Below are 18,298 nucleotides of genomic sequence, written 5' to 3'. Positions count from 1 at the left end.
AATATATACACATACACAAATATATATACACATCTAAATTTTGTATGTATAGAAATGAATGTGTATATTTTATATTTTATATTTTGTATTCATTTGTGCATACACAACATATATTTTATATACATTTCAAAACCATTTTTAGATTTATTAATAAGTACATAATCTAAGGCTCTAATATGACACCATTTCATATTAAAACTGGATCACTAGGCTGGGTGCAGTGGCTCATGCCTGTAATCCCAGCACTTTGAGAGGCCAAGGTGGGCAGGCTGCTTGAACTCAGGGTTTTGGGACCAGCCTGGGCACATGGCAAAATCCTGTCTCTACAAAAAATAAAAAAATTATTTGACATGCTGACACACCTACAGTCCCAGCTTATTAGAGGGTGGAGGCAGGAGGATCACTTGAGCCTGGGAGGTGGAGGTTGCACTGAGCCAAGATCATGCCACTGCACTCCAGCCTGGATAACAGAACCAAACCAGACCTTGTCTCAAAAAACCCAAAAACAAAAAATGCTAATTACTAATTGATATGGTTTGACTGTGTCCCCACCCAAATCTCATCCTGAATTGCAGTTCTCATAATCCCCACGTCATGGGAGGGACCTGGTGGGAGGTAATTGAATCATGGGGGTGGTTACCCCCATGTGGCTGTTCCACTAATAGTGTGTGAGTCTCTTGAGACCTGATGGTTTTATAAAGGGCAGTTCCTCTGCACATGCTCTCTTGCCTGCTGCCATGTAAGATGTGCCTTTGCTCCTCCTTTGCCTTTTGCCATGATTGTTAGGCCTCCCCTGCCATGTGGAACTGTGAGTCAATTAAACCTCTTTCCTTTATAAATTACCCAGTCTCAGGTATATCTTTATTAACAGTGTGAGAACAGATTAATACAGTAAATTGGTACCGGTAGAGCGGGTTGCTGCTGTAAACATACCTGAAAATGTGGGAGTAACTTTGGAACTAGGTAACAGGGAGAGGTTGAAATAGTTTGGAGGGTGCAGAAGAAGACAGGAAAATGTGGGAAAGTTTGCAACTTCCTAGAGACTTGCTGAATGGCTTTGACCAAAATGCCGATCTTGATATGGACAATGAAGTCCAGGTTGAGGTGGTCTCCAACAGAGATGAGGAACTTATTGGGAACTGGAGCAGCAAAGGTGATTTTTGCTATGCTTTAGCAAAGAGACTGGGAGCATTCTGCCCCTGCTCTAGAGATCTGTGGAACTTCGAACTTGAGAGAGATGATTTAGGGTATCTGGTGGAATAAATTTCTAAGCAGCAAAGCACTCAAGAGTTGACTTGGGTGCTCTTAAAAGCATTCAGTTTTGGCTGGGTGCGGTGGCTCACGCCTGTAATCCCAGTACTTTGGGAGGCCAAGGTGGGCGGATCACGAGGTCAGGAGATCGAGACCATCCTGGCTAACATGGTGAAACCCCGTCTCTACTAAAAATACAAAAAAAAATTAGCCGGGCGTGGTGGTGGGCGCCTGTAGTCCCAGCTACTCAGGAGGCTGAGGCAGGAGAATGGCATGAACCCAGGAGGCGGAGCTTGCAGTGAGCCAAGATCACGCCACTGCACTCCAGCCTGGGTGACAGAGCAAGACTCCATCTCCCAAAAAAAAAAAAGCATTCAGTTTTATTCATTCACAAAAACATGGTTTGGAATTGGAACTTATGTTTAAAAGGGAAGAAAAGCATAAAAGCTCAGAAAATTTGCAGCCTGACTATGTGACAGAAAAGAAAAAACAATTTTCTGAGGCAAAATTCAAGCCAGCTGTAGCAATTTGCAGAAATAATGAGGAGCCAAATGTTAATTGCCAAGACAATGGGGAAAATGTCTCCAGGGCATGTCAGAGGTCTTCCCAGCAGCCTCTCCCATCACAAGCTGGGAGGCCTATGAGAAAAAAATGGTTTCATGGGCCTTGCTGCTTTGTGCAGTCTCAGGACTTGGTACCCTGTGTCCCAGGCGTGGCTAAAAGGGGTCAATGTACACTGTTGCTTCAGAGGGTGCAAACCCCAAGCCTTGGTGGCTTACATGTGGTGTTGGGACTGCAGGTGCACAGAAGTCAAGAACTGAGGTCTGGCAACTTCCACCTAGATTTCAGAGGATGTATGGAAACGCCTAGATGTTCAGGTAGAGGTGTGCTATAGGGGTGGAGCCCTCATGGAGAACCTCTCTGCTAGGGCAGTGCAGAAGGGAAATGTGGGGTGGGAGCCCCCACACAAAGTCCCCACGGGGGAACTACCTAGTGGAGCTGTGAGAAGAGGGCCATCAGAACAGTAGATCCACTGACAGCTTGCACTATGTGCCTGGAAAAGCTGCAGACTCTCAATGCCAGCCTGTGAAAGCAGCCAGGAGGGAGGCTGTACCCTGCAAAGCCACAGGGGCAGAGCTGCCCAACATCATGGAAACCCACCTCTTTCATCAGTGTGACCTGGATGTGAGATACGGAGTCAAAGGAGATCATTTTGGAGCTTTAAGATTTGACTGCCCTACTGAATTTCGGACTTGCATGGGCCTGTAGCCCCTTTGTTTTGGCCAATTTATCCCATTTGGAATGGGTGTATTTACAGTGCTTGTACCGCCATTGTTATCTTGGAAGTAATTAACCTGCTTTTAATTTTACAGGCTCATAGGCAGAAGGGACTTTCCTTGTCTCAGATGAGACCTGGGACTGTGGACTTATGAGTTAATGCTGAAATTTGGGGGACTGTTGGGAAGGCATGATTGGTTTTGAAAGGTGAGGACATGAGATTTGGGAGAGGTCAGGGGCAGAATGACATGGTTTGGCTGTGCCCCACCCAAATCTCATCTTGAATTGCAGTTCCCATAATTCCCATGTGTTGTGGGAGGGACCGTGTGGGAGGTAATTAAATTATGGGGGTGGTTACCCCCATGCTGCTGTTCTCATAATAGTGAGTGAGTTTCACAAGATCTGACAGTTTTATAAAGAGCAGTTCCCCTGCACAGTCTCTTGCCTGCCATCATATAAGATGTGCCTTTGTTCCTCCTTGGCCTTCTACCATAATTGTGAGGCCTCCCCAGCCATGTGGAACTGTGAGTCAATTAAAACTCTTTCCTTTATAAATTACCCAGTCTTGGGTATGTGTTTATTAGACAGCATGAGAACAGACTAATACATTAATAAATACATGGAAAATTGAGGCCCTTTATTAAATTGATTCTAATTTAATACAAAATGCAAAGATAATTTTTTTTAAAATTAGTTAAATGCCCTCAGAATAGCAGATCTTTAACAGAATACTAAAACCTTCTCTAACCCCAGAGGCTTCTTACACTTATAAGGTTAATGAATCGTGACAGTGGTAAAAGACAACATGAAAGGGAAAATGATAATCCAGGGAGAGAGAACAGCAAGAGTAAAATCATGACTTCTCAAAATTGCATAGTTTATGAGGGGGATGTCAAGCTAATCTGGTATGTGACTACAATATAGGGTGCAGTAGGGAAATAGCTGAGGTTGGAAAAGTAGGGTAGGGTCATTTGGGGAAGGACTGTTCTGCTATACTTAAGAGTTGGACTTTATTCTGAAGGCAACAGGAAAGCTACTGAAGGCTTTTAACCAATAGAGGGCTGTGACTGTATCTCTTTTTGTTAATGGAAAGACAGCAGTTCAGTTGCACCTTGGTATCCACTGGGAGATTGGTTCCAGGATTCCCACAAACACCAAAATCCATGAATGTTCAAGTCCCTTATATAAAATGGCATGGTATTAGCCTATAACGTATGCACATCCTCCCCTATACTTTAAATCATCTCTAGATTACTTATAATGCCTAATATAAAGTAAATGCTGTGTAAATAGTTGTCTATACTGTTTTTTATTTGTATTACTTTTTATTGTTGTATTGTAATTTTTTTCCCAAATATTTTTTATCCATGGTTGGCTGAATTCAAGGATGTGGAGCCCATGGATACAGAGGGCTGACTGTATATAGAGTGAATTAGAAGAGTGAGAACTTAGAGGACAGAAGGCCAAGAAGTCAAGTACACTAGCCTTAAATAGTACAAAAACAGTGAAAATGCAAACAGGAAGCATTCTAATGACATTTAAAAAGTCAGGAAGGACTGGACTTGGTGAATAGACAAATACAATGAATAAGAATTTCAAGCTCTGGTGAGTGAAATGGGTGGATATTGATGGCTTCAAAGCAAAGACAGAGTTTTAATCACTCTAAGTGCAAAATGCTTTCTGAAATCTGGGTAGCAAGGTCTATTAAACAGCAAGAAATGTGTGGCTAGAATTCAGGGAAGTGAGATATAAATAAAAGGAAAAAATACGATTACTTTTTTGGTGATTTTTTTGAAACGAGTCTCATTACCCTAGACTTATACCTGTTATTAAAGTAAACTTCTAATTGAGTGGTACCCATGTAAACTACGGGATGGCATTGTAATGTTAGGCTTAACTCTTAGTCAATTTAGATTATTGTTTATCCACCTCAAAAACACATAACTAAAATTTATTGGAAAGCATATGACTTACATTTCATATACACATAGGGATTAAAACACTAAAAATGTATACATATACATAATACACATATATACAAATTCACATTTCATTTGAAGTCGAGCCAAAATTTTAAAAGATATGAGACAAAAAAAATTGGGAGTTTACTAATAATGAAGGCCAGTAGTACCAATGATTATTAATAACTATACTAGCACAATTTTGATTTTATAAAGTCTCTCAAGTAAATGTTTTTATCTCTACAACCTGTCCATGAGGTAGGCTAGACCTGGTAGTAACAATAGTAAGTATTAGAATAACATACATAAATTTAATATAATTTAGTTTCTTGTCTTCATGTCCTCCCCAAATTTCCAGAATAAACTAGAGATCTTAGATGTTCTTATTTCGGAATTTATATTTAAAATTGGAACTTTCCTGGCATGAATAAACTAGGTTAGAACACTACTGAATTTTCTAAAATTCTCTGAAACATGGAAAATATAGACCAAAGAAATTTAATACTGTTCCACTACGAAAAGCATCCAATCTGGTCTAGACATATAAATTGGGTACCATAAATGTTTGCTAATTATTACACAAAGTTAAAATCCTAAGGAAAAGTCCAATCCAATTATTATGTTCTTGTAAGTCTGACCATGTGTGAACCTAGTAAAACTTTCAAATTGTTGGTATTAATTTTGCCTTTATAAACTGTTTTAAATCAAATTCTATTCCAAAAGGACAAATAGCCATCAAAGGTTCTTACTTGTGAAATAAGCCCCTGAATTTCAGTTTTTAGAAAAAAAAGCATTATCTAGATATAGAATTTTAAATATTATTCTCATGTATCTAAAGGCTGAGCCTACAAGCTGAAAAGTCCTGTTATTAGTGCTTTATAAAGACTGAAACCTCAACATACCTCACGATCAGCCTCTTGCTTCTGAGTATTTTAGTATTTTCAAGAGTTGAAATGCATTTAAAAAAGAAACAGGAAACAGGAATACTTACTTGAACCTGGCAGGTGAAAGAGGAGTAGGAGGAAACATTCCTGGTTCAAAAGAATCAAAGTAAGTCACTGTCCAAGAAAAGCTGCAACAGGAGAATCCAGCAGTTAGGGATATTATAAGTAGAGTCCAGAATCCTTAACAGGAAAAGAGAGGGGAAAAAGTACATTATTAACACCAAAACAATTTAAATTAAACCAGTACTCTCATGTTCAGATCATGTATATTTCTCATCTTCTAAATTATATGGATCTGATATTTTAAGAGATTTGAACTTATTGCAAGCTAACTTATGTAGAAATAAGTGTACATTACTAAAGCACAACTAGAAGTCATATCATTGAATATTTTAATTAAATGATAATACGTGGGAAAAAAGGGTAAATTCAACAAGAACATAACATCTTCAGTTTTATAAAATTCAACTACAGAAAACATGGTCAAAACATTTCACAAGACTCTTAAGATGTCTTGAGGCCAGACAAGGTGGCTCATGCCTGCAATCACAGTGTTTTGGGAGACTGAGGTGGGAGGATGGTTTGGGGCCAGGAGTTTGAGGTTGCAGTGTGCCTAGATTGCACCACTGCACTCCAGCCTGGGAGACAGAGTGAAACCCCGCTTCGAAAAAGAAAAAAAGTTCATCAGATTTTTCATTTAATTTCATAAATCATACCTTGCTATCTTTATTATTTAGTACTAAGTGATTCCTTTCATTCCACGCCATGCACTTTTGAAACTTGCCTCAATTTGGGGGTATCCCCTCTTTACAGTTTTCTTATGAACATTATAAACCTATTCTGATTCTTTAACCTTGCTCAGTATATGAACAAAAGTTGACTCCTGATTTACAAATGTGTGGGACCTTAGATTTTATTCGCACTGAGTTTGGAACTGTATTTTCTCACAGAAGTCAAGTCAAAAGAACAATATTATAATGGACTTAAGGAAAAACGGTTGAGAAGAATAGGAGGCATAAAGGGAAAAGAAAGGAGTAAGCTAATTTAAAGGTTTTTGGATACTATTCATAACCCATTAATAATAATAAAAGGATAATGACTTCTTCTTGTGGTTATAGGAAGACAGGAAATACTGATATTTAAGTGGTCAACTCCCTTTAGTAAGAAGTACAGCTTTATTTTGATGTCAAGTTTTCAAAAATTTTATAAATTAACTCACTTATTCACCCACTCAATCTATATTGAGGGGCTACTATGTGTTGGTTATTGTGCTAGGTAATGGGGATATAGGGATGAGCAAAATAAAAAAGATTGCTGTCTTCATGAAGTAATTCTAGTGGGATAGGAAGATAATAAAACATGTAAGTAAATTAACAAGATAACTATATATTGTGATAACTATTTTGAATAAATAAGATGTTACCACTTTAAGGAGGTAACATCAGAATTCAGATGGAAAATGTAAGCATATTTTTCTTGGAAGAATAATAGTTAATTCTAAAATTGACATGAAATAATAAGCAAAAATAGAGACTAGTCCAACCAAATATTGAAATAGTATAGGAACTGAATACCTAAAACGGTGTGTACTGATATACAAATAGACGACAGGGCCGGGCGTGGTGGCTCATGCCAGTAATCCCAGCACTTTGGGAGGCTGAAGCAAGAGGATTACTTGAGGCCAAGAGTTTGAGACCAATCTGGCCAACACGGTGAAACCACCTCTACTAAAAATACAAAAATTAGCTGGGCATGGTGGTGCATGACTGTAATCCCAGCTACTTGGGAGACTGAGGCAGGAGAATCACTTGAATCCAGAGGCATAGGTTACAGTGAGCAAAGACAGCACCACTGCACTCCAGCCTGGGTGACAGAGTGAGACTCTTTCTCAAAAACAAACAAACAAACAAACAACAGAACGAAGCAGAACACAAGATTCGGAAGAAGGCCCAAATAGATTAATAAAAAATGTTACTAATTCAATGGGGTGACCACTTACAAAAAGGAAAAGAAGTTAGATCCATACCAGATACCCTATACCAGACTAAATTCTAAAACGTACCAAATAATCTAAATATAAAGTTGTAGAAGCAATCATTGGAAAAACTGGAAAAGTCATTTATAGCCTTGGAGAGATAAAGACCTTTCTAACCATGATACAAAAATTCAAGACTCATATAAGACACAGAATTTCAACTATATACAGTCAGCCCTTCCTATCCACAAGTTCCGTATCTGGAATTCAACCAACCTTGGATGAAAAATATTTGGAAAAAAAAAAAGTAACAATACAACAATAAAAATAATGCCAATCAAAACCAATACAGTATAACAACTATTTACATAACATTTACATTATATTAGGTATTAGAGAGAGTAAATGGGAGGATGTGCATAGGTCATATACAAATACTATCCAATTTCATATAAAGGACTTGAGGATCCAGATTTTGGTATCCAGAGGGGGTCCTGGAACCAATTCCTCATGGATACTGAGGGACAACTGTATATAGGTAAACACACATATTACTATATATGCATAGCAAAATAAAATGTCAAATTGAATGACAAAAAATTTTTAAATAAAACATACCTTTGCAACTTACAGCATAAGGGAAAATTTCCTGCTAATACAGATAATTCCTAGAAGCCAATAAAAAAAAAGACCAGCAATCCAAAATCCAAATATAAAGTTAAATGCAATTGCAGAATAAAAACTACAAATGTTAAAACATGAACAGATGCTCAATTCAATACCATTAATAATCAGAGAAATTAGGTATCATTTTTTCATCAACTGACAAAAATCAAAAAGTTGGATAACATTCTCTGATGCTGAGGCTGTGAATAAACAGAAACTCTTCATGCATGGCTGTTTTGGAGAGTAAATTGTTTTAATTTCTATGGAGAGCAGTTTGGCAGTATCTGTTAAAATGATGCACATATATGTTCTTTACTCCAGTAACTTTATATGTCTTTAGGACAATATATCTCTGTATATTATAATATACAATTTTATATATATATACCTTTGTATATTATACAAACCTGTATAAAATGATGTATATACAAGATTGTTCTCTGTAGCTTTGTTCATAATAACATAGATTGAAAACAACCTAAATTATCAGTAATGAAGGTAAAGGATTGGTTAATTAAGTACATCCATACAATAGAATACTATGCAGCTATAAAAATGAATGAGGAAGCTCTTTAGGTACTGATATGGAAAGATCCTGAAAATATACTGGTGAGCTGAAAAACTGAAAGTTCAGAACAGCTCTATGCATTTGTATAAATAAGGGGAAAATATGTATTATACACATACATATATACATATGTTGTATATATGAAGAAATGTATATTGTACTTAGATATTTTAAAAAATTTCTGGAAGGATGTAAGAATTTAACATTGGTTCTCTGAGGAGGGAGGAAAGAGTGGTTGGGAGAAAAGAGTAAGCCTTTTCAGTCTATACTCTTTTACACTTTTTGAATTTTGACCCATATGACTATTCTACCTATTCAAAATAGAACTAAGTAAATTTGTAAAAAATAAAAAAATTCAGTCAGGTAGTACTTTTTGAACAGAGGAGCAGCAAGGAGGTCGTATCAGAATCTTTGTGGACTCATTTTTAAACTGCGTCTTTAAAACAGGTTTCTGAGAGTGTGTTCCATGCCTCAAGAATACAGGAAGAGTTGAGAACCCTAGCAGATGACTTACGAATTATCAAATTTCCTGACTATACAAATTATCCACCAGTCTTATTTTAGCAAGAAGCAGGTAAAAAGTACATGCAATGGACTGTTTGTAAATCTTGTGAAGCTCAGTAACAGACTGAAAAAACTGTTAAAGTACAGACTCAGAAGAATTATTAATAGAAAGTGTGGTAAATTATATCTCCTGATAGTTCCCTCCTCCCATCTCCCACCTGTTAAAGAGCTAATGGGCTCTGTGTTCATTTCTCCAGAAGAGGGATGTGGCAAAGCAGAAAGAAGAAATAGCCTGTTTTTCTACTTTACATTGCACAATATTTACAGAAACCAGTGTACAGATATAATCAGGGATAGGAGTGTGGATAAACACAATATGTCTTGAATGCACAGCAAAGACAATGAGTTGATTGGAGTACAGATAAAATGTTTGTGTGGAACAGGGAGAGAGTGAGGGGCTTATCGACAAGTGAGAAAGATTTCCTTAGTTTAAATAAAGTAGGTTGTATGCATGTTTGCACTTATGTGTGTAAATGGGGAAAGGGAGTAGTGCTACTGGGGCTTCCTGACAAAAGCATCTAGAAAAGCCCATGCAAAACCACACAGGGAGTATAGCTGTGTACAGTATCTTGGTAGGTAAGTACAGAGCCAAGCCTGCAGATGCCTCTGCCCTAAGCCTGGCATAGAAACACCACATGGTCATGTGGCTGGAAGTTGCCACATCTGAAACACCATCCTGACCACAATAAAAGATACTTCAATACTCACTATAGCAAATGTCTTGAGGATTAGTCTGCACCTTCACCCCAATATCCTGGCACAGTATCCACCTCTAGCACCTCAACCCAACCTGGAATTGGGTGAACAGAACCTTAGAATAACCTTCCTACCAATCTATCAGGATAGAGGGTAAAAAAAAAAAATTATAAGATTTAGTCTACAACTACAACTTAGGGGTTGCTATACTGCCAAATAGCTGTTATTTGCTATTATTTAGATGACTATGTCTAAAGAGGGGAGAAAATAATTGACAAGTTTACTCAAAGTTTAACATACTTCTCCAGAACAAAGATGATAGTTAAGAAAAATAAAGTGTTTGGGGACTGCTATAGAACGATGAAACTTCTAGATAAGTGAGGAAAGACACAAAGTAACATAAAAATAATCAAATGTGAGGCTTTCTAAAGCCTGTTGAACTTTTTCACTTGAGTGCTTTAATAGGGTACCTGTCAAATTTAATACAAGAATATTCTTGAGTTTTTCCAAAATTACTATTCCACAATCTAAGTACTTACTTCGCATTGAGCATTTTTATTATTTTATGTTCATTTTAAACTAATCAGAAGCTGCATCATGGGTAAGTCAGGTCACAATGATAGGGGTAAAAAAAGTACATTGCAATATTGTGGTCTAGAAGTGTTTATGATTCGGGAAATTACCTAATTCATTTGCAAATAAGCAGAAAAGCCACAGAAAATGGTAACTCCCCAACAACTAAATTTTTTACAAGTCAGTACCTGCAGAATCCTCATGCTAAAATTTTGATGTTTTATAAGCCCTTAGAAAGAATTAACAACTTTAAAAAGAATATAAAAATGAAAGCATATTAAATGAAATTCTTCCTTCCTCAGTTTGCCAATTTCATTCCTAAAAGTGATCAGCTAAGAGTCTGGTGTGCATCTTTCCAAAAATTATATACATATCTAGGTAATACAGGTACATATATAAAGCTAGTTATATATAAAACGTATATATATCTTCTCAGCTTATTTTCCACAAGTGAGATTCTCACCAGAAAAATGGTTCTGCATTTTGCTTTTTTCACATATTCTGGAGACCTTTCCTATCAGCACCCACAGCCACAGTTCTGTTGTGTGTGTGTTTTTTTTTAATTCTAGCTTTTCTCTATTACAAACAATGCTCCAAGGAACATTCTTGTATTTAAGGGTACAGTTGTACAAGGACATAGATGTTACAAATTTCCAGAATAACTGCTACCAAAGGTTGCAGGCTTTTAAATAAATACACACATCCTTCGTTCTTCTCTACAGCTCAATATTCATCAGTTGATGAAATGATGTGTGTGCATATATGTGTGTACACACACACACACACACACACACACAGACAAAGTCTGGCTCTGCCACCCAGGCAACCTCCACCTCCCAGGTTCAAGCAATTCTCTGGCACAGCCTCCCAAGTAGCTGGGATTACAGGCGCCTGCCACCACACCCAGCTAATTCTTGTATTTTTAGTAGACACAGGGTTTCACCATCTTGACTAGGCTGGTCTTGAACTCCTGACTTCATGTTCCACCCGCCTCAGCCTCCCAAAGTTCTGGGATTACAGGCGTGAGCAACTGTGCCCAGCCAAAGTGATGTATATTAATTTTTTTTTTTTTTTTTGAGAAGGAATCTTGCTGTGTTGCCAGGCTGAGTGCAGTGGCGCAATCTCGGCTCACTGCAACCTCCGCCTCCCAGGTTCAAGCAGTTCTCCTGCCTCAGCCTCCAGAGTAGCTGGACTACAGGTGTGCACCACCACATTCAGCTAATTTCTGTACTTTTAGTAGAGACGAGGTTTCACCATGTTGGCCAGGCTGGTCTTGATCTCTTGACCTCATGATCCGCCTGCCTGGGGCTCTCAAAGTTCTGGGATTTCAGTCAGACGCCACCACGTCTGGCCAATGAAATGATGTATACTAATCTTTTCCATCAATTGAAACCTCTTAAGACTGTTTTCATCCAAAGCAAAAACAGGGATGGGTAGGAATTTCCTATCCCAATCCCTTTGCTGGAATATTATAGACACCTATCTAAGGGTATATTTGTTTTGGCTTATTTTTCAAAATAAGCCATTCTGGTGTCAGGGAGCAGTTACTCTTCTAAAAATATGCTGGCAACTTTATTTCTATAAAACCTTCCAGCAAAAGAGGCTGTTATATGCTCTAAATATTTTCATTTTGTTTAACAGTTTTAGCTTACGGGGATGAGGCAACTTTCAAGAAGTTTTATGAAGTCAGACACAGAGGCACCAATTTACACATATTATATATAATCAGAATACACCAGAAAAAAACAAAACTCTCATGGTTCCTATACTAGGGAAAGGTTTCCTATTAAATAAGTGTTAGGCAATCAATTGCACACACTTCATAAAACTTCATAAGTAAACAATGGGATTAAACGTGACTGTATACTAGTAATTTCCAAGTCCTGGGTAAGAGATTCTGACATTTGAAATGTTTAAATAAACTGGTATACTTATATTATGAAATACAATGCAGTCATGAAAAAATGAGGTAGACCTATGTATACTAATACAGAATATACTCCAAAAGGCACTTTAACAAGGCTGCAAAATATACATGATTCCAATTATATTTTTCCTATAACAGTGAAAAAAACATGTATTTTAAATGACTATACATATGTAAACAAAGAGAAAAAGATGTAAAAAGACACACAGGTAGATCGGTGAAAGCCTTTGCTTTAATTGTTGGAATCTTTCCTGGTGAGATTAAATTACTTACGTAACTAATGCATTTTATGATACTAACAATGAAAATACAATACAATCATACACTGATGACAGGGATATGTTCTGAGAAATGCATCATTAGGTGATTTCGTTGTTGTTTGTACATCACAAGAGCGTACTTACAAAAACCTAGGTATATAGCCTACTACACACCTATGAGCTATACAGTTATATCCTATTATTCCAATGCTACAGACCTGTGCGGCATGTTACTATACCAAATACTGCACGCGACTGTAATACAACAATAAGTACTTGTGTATCTGAACATACTTAAATATAGAAAAGGTACAGTAAAAATACAGTGTAAAAGATAAAATATGGTACACCTGTATAGGGTACTTACAATGAATGGAGCTTACAGGACAAAGAGTTGCTCTGGGTCAATCAGTGAGCGAGTGACTGATGAGTGAAGGTGAAGGCCAAGGACACTACTGTCCACTACAATAGACTATTATAAACACTGTACACTTAGGTTACGCTAAATTAAAAAATTTTTCTCTTCATTAATAAATTAACCTTAGCTTACTGTAACTTTCTTACTTTATAAATTTTAAAATTTAACTTTACCCTTTTCTACTAACAGTTTAAAACAAAAGGACACTGTACAGCTGTGCAAAAATGTTTTTTCTTTATACCATTACTCTATAAGCTTCTATTTCTAATTTTTTAGTTTTTAAACTTCTTTGTTGAAATCTAAGACACACACACATTAGCCTAGGCCTACATAGGGTCAAGGTAATATCACTGTTTTTCACTGTCACATCTTTTTCCACTGAAAGGTCTTCAAGGGCAACAACATGCATGAAACTGTCATCTCCTATGACAACAATGCCTTCTTCTGGGATACCTCCTGAAGGACCTGCCTGAGGCTGTTTTACAGTCAACTTTTTTTAAGCAGAAGTAATATAATCTAAAACAATAAGAAGCATAGTAAATACATAAACCAGTAACATAATTGTTTATCAAGAATTATGTTATGTACTGCACGTAATTGTGCTGTATTTTTTTTTATGACTGGAAGGTTATATAAAACTAGATTGGTAATAGGTTGGTTTATACCAGCATCAACACCAACATGTGAGCAATATATTGTACTACCAAGTTAGGACAGTTGCAATGCCACTAAATAGGAATTTTTCAGCTCCACTGTAATCTTATGGGACCACCATCATACAGGCATATATGCAGACCACTGTTGACCAAAATGGTATGTGGTGTATGGCTGTACTTAGCTAACTTTAAAAGTTGTAAAAACTATTACCAGCTGGCTACTAATAAAACTTAGATGTATCATATGCATGAAACTAACCATCAATTTTTAAATGTTTATGTAAGCAAATGTTCTCAACTTTATTAGATTCTATAGTTTTCTAACTTGAGAGGATGACCATTATTTTAAATAATTTGGTATCCTCTCTAAATCACATTCTATAGATAGCTCAAGTCTTTAAATCCCTAGAGCAAAGTGTCTCTTTACACGTCAAAGCCAAGTGCAGGAGCAGAGGAAAGTGCTCTCTCCTCTCCTGCCAATGCAACATGAGCATAGTGGGTGCAGAGTGCATGGTAGCTATAGCAGTTACACTGGTTAAGGCCTTCACCCAATCGCCCGACCACCTGCAACCCAGACTGTAGCATTTCTACATCTTTCTGTTGAAACAGATGAGGAAGGTGATCCTCTGACAGATTAAGTGACTGAAATTTCAAAAATAAATAACACCTGTAGTTCCCAACATTGGTAAATCATTAGATTCACATGGGAAAATTAAAAAAAAAACCCAACACTTTTATTACAGATCATTTCAAACACAGGAAAAAGTTGAGAGAAGTATATAAAACTCATATACCCATCATCCAGCTTTAAACAATTAATTCATGGGCAATCCTGTTAAATTTATATTCTCCTCTGAAGCTTGTAATCTTCAGTATAACAGGGAAAACAGTCATCAATATTTTTATCATATAAGTCCAAAGAGGCTTTTTTATTTCCTTTATTTTCATGACACTTGAAGAATAATTTAGAGAGCAAAAAGACAGCAGGAAAAAAACTTTGTTAAAAATTTTCATAAGAAATAAATACAGCAAATCCGAATTTCAATTCCCAGTTTCCCTAAAGTCATGTACACCAAAAATGGGCACGACCTGAGTGCAAATAATTGCTTACTAACTTCATGTATGAATCTACAACATATCCATCTTGTAAATACCACTTCCAGATTTCAGATACATCTCAAATTGGTTACAGCTTGTCATTATTCCTGCTTTTTTTTTTTGCACTTGCGTCATTAAAACACAATGTTTGAAGGAATTTTTAAGCCTTTCATGGCTTATTTTGACGAAAAGAGGACAACAATCTTCTTTGCTCCATAATTTGTAACATATTTTCATTTTTAGATTACAAACAATTCAAATGGTCAACCCAATAATTCTTTTTTGCATTTTTTTTTCCAAATCACCTTTGTATACACATCTGCCCTTAGCATCTGTCCACTTACAAACAGTATCAAATAAATTAGGATGCAGACCTCATAAAAGATGAAAAAAATACTTAAAGTCTTAGGAAAGTCTTACTGGAATCCTAATTCCATCATAATTATTTTATTCTTTCGACCATAGTTGAGAATTGATGAGTAATACTAAAATAATGAAATAGGAGAATGTTTTGAGAAAGAACAATATGTGACCACTAAAATCCCAAAACGTATTTCAAAATTAAAAAATGTCCAATAGACCAATGTGGTAATTTCAAGATCAAATAAACTTTATGAGAAATATAGCTCAGTTTTCTTTATTCTTTTGAAGATCCCTAAGAAAGAATAAGTCATGAAATTTCAATCCTTACAAACAGAACTGCTCGAAATAATTCAGAAATGAAAAATGGTCCAATGAGCCCTGATTGTACAGTGTACACTGACACATACAGCCAATTAAGTTACTTCGATTCAGTAGATAATTATAGGGTCTAAGATTCCGTAAAAGCAAAAAAAGAAAATCTCCAGGGTCTTCGTTTTTTTGCTTTTTTTTTTATGTCAGGTTTGGGAACTACTAGGCCAGTGGTGTTCAAAGTATATATAGCCCCCTAACTAGCAGCATGCAGAGCATCAACTCAAAACTTGTCAAAAATGAAAATTCTTGGGCTCCATCTCACACTACTGAGTCAGATATTCTGCACCATGTGAAGAGCAGCAAAATTTATCTTTCAGGTGATTCTGATGCCAGCTAACTTTTGACTTCATTAGCCTAAGAAACGTCCCTCCCAACCACCAAAGTTGGACTACAGAGTACCACACAATGTCAACTCAATTTATTGAGATTTAGGGGTCCTAATGTCTGGTTCTTATTACTGCTTTTATGTGTTAAGAAGAGTCCTGTAATAATTTCATGACTAATAATTTAGCTGCACATGGCTAATTCTTGCTGATAACCCATTCTTTTTCTGCCTTGCTATACTACCTAGACTATCTATGGTATAAAAATTATAATACATACTTTCTTGAGTTTTGGTTTAGAAGAAAATAACATTGATGGATACAGTGTAGTTGAGAATACTAGAGGAAATAACACACAAATTAATGGCTTTTGGCATATTGTAAAAGTGCAATAAATGGTGTTATTGTTAATTACTGAAACATTATTCTCTAAACTTAAATTTGTGCTTTCCCTTAAAGTTTTTCTTATTGCAAGTTACACTTATACATTGTAGAAAATAAAAATAATAAATACAACCAATCAATTCGGAAACCCAGATAAACTAACATTTTGATTATATCCTTCCAGTCCTTTTTGGCTTTCTCTCTTTTTTTTTTTTTTTTTTGGCCTTAGTCATCATTTCTTGAATAATACAAATAGGTAAGACAATTTTACAAAAATTGTGCTATAGAATAGGATATTTGTGACTTTTTAGATGAAATATTAGAGCTACCCCACCCAGCCACAGATAGCACTGTAACACTTTCTTAATAGAGTATAGGTTCAAATTATAAAGTCCACACACTGGCTAAAAAGTTCAAGTTCAGAGTTTCAATCAATTTTCATTGTAAGGATGAAACTGAGTTTTACTCAACTTGTGTCTTTTTAAGAGAATGGGCCACCTCCCACACATCCTTTCTCTTGGACTTTTTTTAACACTTCTAATGTTCTGTATCACGAAATCATGATGGCCAAAACAAAATCTACAGGTGCTTTTAAAAAAGCAAGTCCCCAAGTGATTGTTACCCATACCAAAATGAGAATTGCTGCTATAATCTGTTCTTACTGACTGCCATGCCAATCTTGGACTAGGATTAAATTGCAATTAAATTCTGCAGTGTACAAAATTTTTGTCAGTCTGTCTAGAAAAAGAAAGAGAACTCTTTCATGGTAGAGCAGTTACTGTGCTCACGTTGCTTTTTCTAAAAACCAACCTACTTTCAAACAAAGAATGAGGAAATTTGCAGTAAATTTTAAATATGAGTCACGGAAATATTAAGATAATAGCATGTGTGGGCAATAATAAGTATGCCAAGAAATAAAGAGTAATATACAAAACAATCAAACATTATTACATTTGGCTACGAGGTTCCTAATAAACAGGGCAAAATAAATAGTGAAATATAATAAAATCGTTATCATCTGATAAAAGGCTGCATGGTACTTTTCCCAAACGTAATGGATGACTTCAACACATTTTCTTATTAAATATTTCAAATTGTTTCTTCATGTGAAAACTGTCTTATTAATTGTAAAAAGGATGTAACTTCATAGGCATCTCCTCAGGGGTAAACTAATGAGGCAATTTTTCTTGATATCTAAGTTAATCAACTCAGCGTTGATTTAGATGGAAGTCAAGTTTGAGAGAACCATCCTACCTTTTCAGCTATCAATTATCTCAAGAGGAGTTTTAACCAGAGGACAGGAGTCAATTCAAAACATTCTGTAAATAGGCTAACTTGTATTTTTCTTGAAAACAGTAGAGAATTGCAGCTTAGAAAAAAAGGCAGGTGTTGCCACAATTACCTCAATCTTTTGTTTTGTTTTGAGTTGGAGTCTTGCTCTGTTGCTGAGGATGGAATGCAGTGGCGCAATCTTGGCTCACTGCAACCTCCACCTCCCCGGTTCAAGTGATTCTCCTGCCTCAGCCTCCCGAGTAGGTGGGATTACAGGCCTGTGCCACCATGCCCAGCTAATTTTGTTTTTGTATTTTTAGTAAAGGCGGGGTTTCACCATGTTGTTCAGGCTGGTCTCGAACTCCTGACCTCAAGTGATCCACCCGCCTCGGCCTCCCAAAGTGTTGGGATTATACGTGTGAGCCACCGCGCGTGGCCGATCACCTCAATCTTATTAAGAGCTTAATCATCTTGGCCCTGTTTCACTGAAACAGATTTTTAAGAATCCTCTTCTGGTAGAGACAACTATTCTCTATCCATATGTTATAATACATACATCTGCTATAACTATTCTTTAAAATTAACCCCCAGGAAACTGATTGAATTAGCCCATTAAATGATATTAACTATTTTTATTCTCCATCTGACCACTGGAGCTCATCTGACCATTGGTTCAAAATAATGAGCTTTGTTTTGGCATAGCTGTTGGGTTTTTTTCACCATAAAGATACAACACTTTCTGCTCATTC

The 18,298-nt window shown here is 36.5% G+C and overlaps 1 protein-coding gene across 15 annotated transcripts in view; it reads right to left on the bottom strand.

Moving 5' to 3' along the window:
- The window catches only part of ARL6IP6 (ARF like GTPase 6 interacting protein 6), a 44,749-nt gene that overhangs the window by 21,789 nt on the left and 4,662 nt on the right, over positions 1-18,298 (bottom strand). For 8 of the 15 annotated variants that reach the window (NR_146422.2, NR_024526.3, NR_146424.2 and 5 more), the window contains one exon: positions 5,482-5,614. Coding sequence is in view for 3 of the 15 variants with exons in the window: in NM_152522.7 (NP_689735.1) it covers positions 5,482-5,614 (133 nt within the window). In the remaining 12 variants the exon portion in view is untranslated. Of the gene's footprint in view, positions 1-5,481; positions 5,615-8,027; positions 8,078-18,298 lie in introns of those variants that run through there. The other 7 variants (NR_146425.2, NR_146427.2, NR_146430.2 and 4 more) reach the window with 4 other exon arrangements.

This window comes from Homo sapiens, chromosome 2 (assembly GCF_000001405.40).
Source record: "Homo sapiens chromosome 2, GRCh38.p14 Primary Assembly".
NCBI classification, from domain to species: Eukaryota; Metazoa; Chordata; class Mammalia; order Primates; family Hominidae; genus Homo; species Homo sapiens.
This window is presented reverse-complemented; position numbering and strand designations above follow the sequence as displayed.